Genomic DNA, 10,532 nt, shown 5'->3' with positions numbered 1-10,532 from the left:
AGAGAACACCAAGCTGTTGTCACCTGCTTGGTGTGGGGGGAAACCTTCACACATTTGGTCACAGAAGTCTTCTGTGTTGATGATTGTTGTGGCATGAGAGTAAAGGAAAAAGACAGAGTTTTTACACAACCATATTTGTAATTTTCTCCAACCCTGAGCATCTAGACTTCTAATAAACTATGCTTTTGCTAAGAAAGAACACGGGAGGAAGCAAATCCTTGACCCAGATCTCTGGCAACCTGAGATGGAAACTGACATGGCCCCAACACTACGCCTAACACCTGGGGCCTCACTCCTCTATAGGAATACAAGGTTGATTATACTTTTCTTCTTCTATCTTCAGTAAGAGTAATAATATCGAAAGGTTTCATTATTATTAGTATTATTATTATTATTACTATTGAGACAGAGTCTCACTCTGTCACCCAGGCTGGAGTGCAGTGGCATGATCTCGGCTTACTGCAACTTCTGCCGCCCGGCTTCAAGCAATTCTCATGCCTCAGCCTCCTGAGTAGCTGGAATTACAGGCACACGCCACCACACCTGGCTAGTTTTGTTTTGTTTTGTTTTGTTTTGTTTTCATTTGTTTGTATTTTTAGAAGGGATGGGGTTTCACCATGTTGGCCAGGTTGGTCTCGAACTCCCGACCACAGGTGATCTGCCCTCCTTGGCCTCCAAAAGTGCTGGGATTAAAGGAATGAGGTTTCATTATTTTTGAATAGCTTACTCAAAGATTAAAGAAAGAGCATATTTAAGGCTCTAGTGGCACTCAGTAGACCAAGGGAGGGAGAAGGAAGGGAGGAAAGTAAGAGAGGATGATAAAACCGTTTCAGCCACTGGCTGTGTGGAAGCAGCTAACTGTGGGAGGCAAGAATAGGGAAGAGCTGAAGAAGGAAGCTTTTCTTTCCTCAGCATTGCAAGGACCACTCACCAAGAGGGGATAGCCAAAAGAAATAATAATGTCCAAGGCAGTTACAACCACTCTTGGAAGCTTGCATCTCTTCATTCATGTTTGCGGTCATTGTTAGGTTTATCACATACTTTTATTAAAAGTTGCTCAGTAAAGTATCAAGTGTAGTTTATTTTCTTTCCATAAGAGAATTTAATAAAATTTTAGGAGTATCAAGCAAAGCTCAAGCTTTCATAGGCAGTTATCCCTGGTTCAATCTGTTCCTAGAACATATTCCTTTTTTTTTTTTTTTTTCCTGAGACAGGGTCTGGCTCCGTGGCCCAGGCTGGGGTGCAGAGGTGAGATCCTGGCTCACTGAAACCTCCGCCTCACACCTGTAATCCTAGCACTTTGGGAGGCCAAGGTGGACCGATCACTTGAGCTCAGCAGTTGGAGAACAGATTTCTGACATATAAAAACTATCCTTCATTTGATAGCTATTTCCCTGAGACCTCTGTGGTCCACTCCACATTTTGACTCTATTTATCAATGAATTTTTAAAAATCACTAAGCAGTTACGGTCATTTCCTGATAAAAAGTATTGAACTTTTCAGGCATAGTTCCTTTATGTATGTTTGATATGAATCATCAGAGAAATCTAAAGCAACATACACACAGTTCCTGACTTGCCATAGTTCGACTTAAGATTTTCCAACTTTACAGCGATTTGAAGGCAATGTTGAAAAATCTTAAGTTGCATCATCGCAAGTTCAGCAACTGTCTGTATGCTGCTTTAGAACCAAGTTGAAAAAGTACCGTAATAACTGTACTTCAAGTACCCATACAACCATTCTGTTTCTTACTTCCAGTATAGTATTCAATATATTACAGGAAATATTAACACTTTCTTATAAAGTAAGCTTTTTGTTAGAGGATTTAGCCCAACTGTGGGTGAGGCTAAGCTACGAGGTTCCGTGGGCTAGGTATATTAAATGTATTTTTGGTTTATGATATGTTCAACTTTTGATGGGTTTATGGGGACTGCAACCTTATCAAAAGTTGAGGAGCCCATCTCTGCTTGTGTGAAACTCAGGTGCAATGAAACTGCTCTGGGACTTAGCATCAGGAAACCTCAATTTGAATTCCTTCTCCACTACCTTGAACTAAATCACTTCAGCTTTCTGAGCTATCTACCTGTAATATCTGCTTAACAGGGATGCTGTGAAGATTAAATAAAATGACATGTGGGAATGTGCTTGTGTTCCCAAATACATGGTTGTTAGATTAATTTATGGTCATTGAATTAGCATCACTACTTTTTTTAGAGAGTTCCCAATAATTTAAAAAATTCTTAGGCTGGGCTCAGTGGCTCACGTCTGTAATCCCAGCACTTTGGGAGGCCAAGGCAAGAGGATTGCTTGAGCCCAGGAGTTCAAGACTAGCCTGGGCAACATAGGAAGACCTCATCTCTACAAAAAAAAAAAAAAATATATATATATATATATAAACATTTTCTGGGCACGGTGGTGCATGCCTTTGACCCCAGCTACTTGGAAAGCTGAGGCAGGAGGATAGCTTGTGCCCGGCTGGAAGAGATTGCAGTGAGCCGTGATTACACCACTGCACTCCAGCCTGAGCGATGGAGCAAGATCCTATCTCAAAATAATAATAATAATAATAATAATATAAAATAAATAAAACATTATTTAAACAAATGGTTATTTAGAACACACCATGAACCAGGCCTGTGCTCCGTGGTGGAGAGAAAAACAGTGAACAAGATGGTTATAGTTCTTGCTCTCATGGACCTTACAGTCTAGAAAGGAATACAGACTAGTATGCAGATAGTTACAATGAGGGGTGCCAAGGCATATATGTAACAATAACTTTGTTATTCTCATACTGTATTCTCATACTGTATGTTCTCATAACTTTGTTATTATCATACTGTATTCACTCCAAATCTGCATCTATGTAGCTTTTACAGTCTGTAAAGCCAGGACATAAAAGTGTTCGGCAATCTCAGGGCACAATTGTACCCCATGACAGATCCATTATTGGGCTTGAAGGCAGGTACCCTGTGTGACTCAACACAGGAATGGTAGAATGGCCACACCTCACCCACCTCAACAGCCATTGCAAGATTTTTTTTCTCATGAGATTTTATTGTGCAAGTTTTTTGTGCCATCAAGACCACAGGCTAGAGTCAGCCCTTGTTTCATTTTATTTATTTATTTTTTTAAGAAAAATTTAATTTTGGCCTGGTGCAGTGGCTCATGCCTGTAATCCCAGCACTTTGGGATGCTGAGGCAGGTGGGTCCCTTGCATCCAGGAGTCTGAGACCAGCCTTGGCCCCATGGCAAAACCCTATCTCTACAAAAAAATACAAAAAATTAGCTGGGCATGGTGGCACACACCTGTGGTCCCAGGTACCTGGGAGGCTGAGGTGGGAGGATGGCTTGAACCTGTGAGTTTGAGGCTACAGTGAGCCATGTTCATGCCACTGCACTCCAGCCTGTGTGACAGGGTGAGACTCTGTCTCAAAAAAAAAAAATTAGTTTTATTGAGGTATAAAATTAATTCATTTTAAGTGTACAATCTAATGATTTTTAATAAATTTATAGAGTTGTACACCCATTATTGCAATCTAGTTTTTATCACATTTTCCATCACCCATAAAATAAACCTTAGGTCCCTTTGCAGGCATTCTGTGTTCTTACTCTCAGCCCTGGCAATCACTGATCTATTTTCTGTCTCTGCAGATTTGCCTATTTTGGACATTTCACATAAATGGAATCAAACAATGTGTAGTCTTTTCTTTCACTTAGTATCATGTTGTTTCCTTTTTTTTTTTTTTTTTTTTGAGACCGAGTCTCACTCTGTCGCCAAGCTGGAGTGCAGTGGCGCGATCTCAGCTCACTGCAACCTCCGACTCCCTGGTTCAAGCGATTCTCTTGCCTCAGCCTCTCGAGTAGCTGGGATTACAGGCACACACCACCACACCCAGCTAAATTTTGTATTTTTAGTAGAGATGGGGCTTCACCATGTTGGCCAGGATGGTCTCGATCTCCTGACCTTGTGATTCACCAGCCTCAGCCTCCCAAAGTGCTGGGATTACAGGCGTTAAGAGCAGCATGTTTTTGAGGGGCACCCTTGTTGTAGCATGGATCAGTATCTTTCTATGACTAAATAGTATTCCACCATGTGGATAGTCCACATGTGTTATCTATTCATTGGCTGATGGACATTTGGATTGCTTCCACTTTTTGATCATTATTCTTGATTTCACTTAGTCCTTCCACGAATGGGCCAGATTTCTGACAGTTATCTTTGTTTTTGCCCCGAATGCAAAAACACAATGGCATTTTTGCCATCTTCCTGTTTGGTCTCTATTTTTTTTTCTTTTGCCATCTTTCTGCTTGATGTCTATCTTTCTCCTGCCTTTCCCTGTTGCTTCTCCCTTTCTCGCCTCACTATCTGTTAGTAAGCATACAGCACGATTCACTGGTAAGAGCCTTGAGTAACAAGCGGGAACACCTGGGTATAAGCCTGGGTTTAAGCCTGCTGTTAACTAGACCCTCTCTGAGCCATAGCTACTTCATTTAGGAGAGATCAATTAGAACACAATTTTATTCTCTTAGCAGAATCATTTTCTTAAAATTTTACTTAGAATCCTGAGACATGCCAGATTAGATTGCCACAAGATTTGAAGTGGAGGGTGGATCTCGGGGTCCTGTTGACTCTGTCCTTCAAATAGTCTGTGGACCTCAGAGCTTGAGTACTCAGTTTAAAATCCCCTGGATTAGTACAGTTCTAAGAGTCTATAAAAGCGTTTTTAAAACCTCAGATGTCCTAGTCCTTTTCCAACATATCCACATGAAAGGAATCAGGGGTCGTGGCAAAAGCATTAGACATCAGAATCAGAGGACCTCCAGGACTTCTTACCTCTGTAATCTTGGGCAAATTATTTAACCCGAATCTTAGTTTCCTCAAATGTCAATTGGAAATGGTAATGTGTACAGTGGTGACACGTCATGTGCACATTTAACATGCAGGAATTCAAGGATACAATTAGCACAAACATAATTTAGTTATAGTGCTGTACCTGCTATTTTTTCCTTAGCTCCACTCCTCACCCTTCATCTGCTGTGTCTTGGGCAAGGGGGCTGACCCCTACAGGCTGCATCTGACAGAGGTCCTTTCTGCTGGCTTCCGGTTGTGATCCATCTACAGAAGGCACCAGTGGGCAGGTGTGAGATTCCTTGGTTATGGATAGCCTTAATGTGTTGGTTTTCTCAAATGATGGTTGTAGTAGTAATGAAAAGGTTATGTTGACAGACTCAGGACCTCCTGGTTAGCCACGGTAGTATAGGCAATGGTGATAGCTGAGGTCATGCACAAGTTTTCTCCCTCCTGGGTGCAGTGTTATTCTACCTGGAGATGATGTAATGGACTTTGTCAGTTGGCCTCCAGCCAGGAAATGGTGCATGCAAAAGAGCACCAGCTGCAGTAGTAACAGTGGAATTGTGGAATCTACTGGAGGGCAGGAAGAAAGTCTCGGGTATTTCTCCTCATTCTTCACTTCTTGGGTGGCTTCACTAGTAGTGGCTGCATTTCCTTTATGGCTCTAGTTCTTGCTGAACGGGCCTACCTTGTTCCAGCTTAACTTCAGTGATCCCAGCCCCTAGTTCTGGTGTAATTTCCTCCAGCCGAGGGGTGGCAGAGGTTTTCAGAAATCAGGAATGGCTGGGTTGCTTCACTGTCTTTTATTTGGCTTCTGTATTAGTCCGTTCTCATTCTGCTAATAAAGACATACCCAAAACTGGGTAATTTTTAAAGGAAAAGGTTTACTGGACTCACAGTTCTACATAGCTGGGGAGCCTTCACTATCATGGTGACAGGCAAAGGAAAAGCAATAGCACATCTTACATGGCGGCCGGCGAAAGAGCTTGTGCAGGGGAACTCAGATCTCGTGAGACTTACTCACTACCACGAGAACAGTAGCGGGGGAACTTCTCCCTTAATTCAGTTACCTCCACCTGGCCCTGCCCTTGACAAGTGGAGATTATTACAATTCAAGGTGAGATATGGGTGAAGACATAGTCAAACCATATCAGCTTCTTAACTCTCTTCTGGACATTCCTATCCCCTGTGCAACTAATTCCCCGTAATAAAGCCCCTCTGTTTGAATACCTAGAATGGTTTCTGTTTTTCTGATTGGACCCTAATCAATGCAATGAAACCCTTGACAAAAAAGGAGGGAAAGAATAAGAATCTAAACAAGCTGGGCAATTCCACTAGCCATTCCTCTCAATGAGCCTGTGCCCTGAAGTGAGGGTGAGATGGGAGACATGGAACCCTCAGTTAGTCTCAGGTCTTAGTGTCCCTCATTGGGTTTTGTTTTTGTTTTTGTTTTTGTTTTTTGAGATGGAGTCTCACTCTGTTGCCCAGGCTGGAGTGTAGTGGTGTGATCTTGGCTCACTGCAACCTCCGCCTTCTGGATTCAAGCAATTCTCTTGCCTCAGCCCCCCGAGTAGCTGGGAGTATAGGCATGTGCCACCATGCCCACTCATTTTTGTATTTTTTTGGTAGAGAGGGATTTACCATGTTGGCAAGGCTATTCTCAAACTCCTGTCCTCAAGTGATCCACCTGCCTTGGCCTCTCAAAGTGCTGGGATTACAGGTGTGAGCCACTGTGCCCAGCCCCCTCATTGGGTTTTTAGTTGTGGAGGTTTTGGTATATCCTGGCCTCTAAGGCAAATGAACTTATTTACATAGACACAAAATTATGTGTCCTCTATTTCGTGGTCAGGGGATGTTAAGTGTATGTGATTTCACCTTCCTTGGTGACTACAGAACCCAACCCCTCATGCAAGATGAAGCTCTGCTGAGAATCACAGGGCAATATGAGCATCAGATAAAATAGTGTGAGTGAAAGTACATAATAAACTGTAAAATTTCAAACAAATATAGGACATTATTATTACTTACATTCCAAACCCCCATCATCCAGGAACAAGGCAATTTAAGTCTTTTTATAGGACTTGAGAAGTTACTTTGAAGGTTTTTTAGGGTTCTCCACTGTTTTCTGTTTTATTATTTTATATTATTTTGATTTTTTAGAGACGGGGTCTTACTCTGTCACCCAGGCTGGAGTGCAGTGTGGTGTGATCATAGTGCATTGTCACCTTGAATTCCTAGGCTCAAGTGATCCTCCCACCTCAGCCTCCCAAAGTGCTGGGATTACAGGCAAGAGCCACTGTGCCTGGCCTCTCCATTGTTTTCTACAAAAAAAGAGGAAACTAAATCATGATTCCTAGGGGAGATAAGGAGAGTGCATTTAACCTAATGGTCTCATTCCTTAACTAGAAACACATGGAAACAAAAAGTTATTTGAGCCCAGGAGTTGGAGGCCAGCCTGGGCAACATAGGGAGACCCCTGTCTTTACAAAAAGAGTTAAAATCAGCTGGGTGAGGTGGCACATGTCTGTAGTACCAGCTACTTAGGAGCCTGAGGTGGGCTGATTGCTTGAGGTCAGGAGTTCAAGGCTGCAGTGAGCAGTGATTGTGCCACTGCACTCCAGCTGGGGCAACAGAATGAGACCCTGTCTCAAAAAAAAAAAAAAAAAAAAAGTTGCATTCTTTGTTTTCCCCTGTAAAATGCATTAGAATTTACAGAATTATGAAAAGATTATCCTGTTCTTTGTCTTGGAGATGAAATTGGCATGGGAAAAAGTATGACATTTGACTTTACTTGCTAGGTGCTCAATGTTAAGTTAATGTTCCTGGCTGCGCGCAGTGGCTCACGCCTGTAATCCCAGCACTTTGGGAGGCCGAGGCGGGCGGATCACGAGGTCAAGAGATCAAGACCATCCTGGCCAACATGGTAAAACCCCGTCTCTACTAAAAATAAAAATAAAAATAAAAAATTAGCCAGCCGTGGTGGCACACACCTGTAATCCCAGCTACTCAGGAGGCTGAGGCAGGAGAATTGCTTGAACCCGGGAGGTGGAGGTTGCAGTGAGCCAAGATCGTGCCATTGCACTCCAGCCTGGAGACAGAGCAAGACTCCGTCTCAGAAAAAAAAAAAAAAAAAAAAAAAGTTAATGTTTCTTAGTATTTCCCTATATGTTTCTTCTAAAATCAGTGCTAGACTTAGAAAAGAAAAAGAAGCTTACAATTTCATTATTCTCTTCTCTGAGTCAGAAAGATGATTTTTGATGAGAAGATTTTCACACTGCTGCAGGAAACCACAAATTATACTGATGTGAACTAGGTCCCCACACATTTTTCCTCCCCAAATATGATCTTGCGGGGATCTATTTTGAATCGATGTCTCTTTTTAAGCCTTTGTTCAAATCTTCCTTCAAATTGCTTTATGACCCCTATCTTTTAGGACCAAGGGCTGAACATTCTTTTTTATTCTGAGAGGTAAAGAAGCTAAGGAAGCTCACGGGACACTAATGCAAGCTGACCTGTTCAGTTACTAATTTGCATTTTACAAAATAATAACAACAGTGACGGTGATGATGAGTGCCCTAAGATTGTTATCTTGGGTTTCTTAAATTAGACTTGAGAAACCGTTGCTAGCCAAACCTCCCAAGACTCATTCCCTGGTTGTTGTGTTTGATAAATTTGTCTCTCTGGTGACACATACCCGGCTGGACCAACAGAGTGATGAAATTCTCTCCTTCTTGCCTAATTTTTCTTTTGGACTCTACTCAGCAATATGTCTGAATTTCTGTGTAGGTGTCCAGCTTTTAGATTTTTCCAAGTTTTTCCAAAAATGTAATAAAACGGGCATGGTGACTCAAGTCTACAATCCCAGCGCTTTGGGAGGCCAAGGCAGGAGGGTAGGTTGAGCCCAGGAGTTTGAGACCAGCCTGGACAACATGGCAAAACCCCATATCTACAAAAATTAGAAAATTAGGAGGCGGGCTTCCAATCTAGTTCCATCCGGTTCTCCCACTGCCCTCACTGTGGTTCTCAGCAGCTGGGGACGCAGAAAGAGTGGCAGCGGCCAGGCTGCCCAGCTTCGTGAAGGCTCTCGGTGCGCCGCGGCCCGCAGGCACCTGGCACGCGCCCTCCCTGCCGCCAGGATGCCCAAGAGGAAGGTCATCTCCACCGAAGGGGCCGCCAAGGAAGAGCCCAAGAGGACATCGGCGAGTTTGTCAGCTAAACCTCCTGCAAAAGTGGAAGCGCAGCCAAAAAAGGCAGCAGCGAAGGATAAATCTTCAGACAAAAAAACGCAAACAAAAGGGAAAAGGGGAGCAAAGGGAAAACAGGCAGAAGTGGCTAACCAAGAAACTAAAGAAGATTTACCTGCAGAAAATGGTGAAACGAAAACTGAGGAGAGTCCAGCCTCCCTGATGAAGCAGGAGAGAAAGAAGCCAAGTCTGATTAATACCCTACACTACGTCTTCTCAGTGGTCCCTGTCCCCCTTCTTGTACAATCCAGAGGAATATTTTTATCAACTATTTTGTAAATGCAAGCTTTTGAGTAGCTCTAGAAACATTTTTAAGAAGGAGAGAATCCCACCTCATCCCATTTTTTAAGTGTAAATGCTTTTTTTTAAGAGGTGAAATCGTTTGCTGGTTATTAAGTTTTTGCTACAGCCAGAAAATAGTGTGGGATATTTAATTACGGGAGGCTTTGACTGTCTCGGGTGTCAGCTTAACATTCCGTAGATGGGGGGTTAGTTTTTATATCCTGAAATACAAAGCATATTAAATGACAATATGGAGTCAGTCCTGCATTTAATGTCTTGAACATTTTAAATTACTTCTATTCCCATGTTGCTTTTTAGTAGAATTGTTTCCTAAAGAAAACCACTCTTTGTTCATGGCTTTCCCTGTGAGAATTATGTGCACTCTGTAACCTCTTTGGTTGTGGTAGCCCTATTTTCCTAATAACTTTGTTACTGTGCTGTGAAAGATTAAAAATTTGAATGTGGAGTGTACATGCTGTTCCAGTTGTGAATCGGTGGGACGTGTGTGACAGCTTATCAACATGTGAAGATACTGGTACCTGATAGCCTCTTAAGGAAAATTTGCTTCAGAATTTCGAGCTGGGAAGTCACTGGAATAACTTTAAAAATGAATTACAAAACATGGCTTTTTAGATTTTTGTTACGTATGTTAAGAATTGTGTACAAATTGAAATGTCTGTACTGATCCTCAACCAATAAAAATCTCAATTATGAAAGAAAAAAGAGAAAATTAGCTAGGTATAGTGGGGTGCACCTGTAATCTCAGCTATTGGGAGGCTGAGGTGGGAGGATCACTTGAGCCCAGGAGGTTGAGGCTGCAGTGAACTATGACTGTGCCACTGCACTCCAGCCTGGGCGACAGAGTGAGACCCCATCTGAAAAAATAAAATAAAATGAAGAGCCCCAAATCAGTGTTTTGAATAGTTTGAAATCAGCCTTATCTGTTGAGACAAGCACTGATGGATGTTGTTAGATTCCTGCCACCCTGTGTGTGTGTGTGAGGGGAAGGGATGCTGCGGGGAGGGAAGGATGGAGAGAGACAGGCAGGACCTGTTCTGTTTTACACAGGGCTGAAATCTTACAACACATGCCATGTAATCAGGCTAAGGACAAATAATCCCTATGAATAAATTTACAGTGAATTGACCTACATT

At 42.4% G+C, this 10,532-nt stretch overlaps 1 pseudogene; it reads left to right on the top strand.

Annotated features, from left to right (window-relative positions):
• On the top strand, positions 8,844-10,094 carry HMGN1P26 (high mobility group nucleosome binding domain 1 pseudogene 26; annotated as a pseudogene).

This window comes from Homo sapiens, chromosome 15, assembly GCF_000001405.40.
Source record: "Homo sapiens chromosome 15, GRCh38.p14 Primary Assembly".
NCBI lineage: Eukaryota > Metazoa > Chordata > Mammalia > Primates > Hominidae > Homo > Homo sapiens.
The sequence above is the reverse complement of the archived record's forward strand: the minus strand, read 5'-3'. Positions and strand labels throughout refer to the sequence as shown.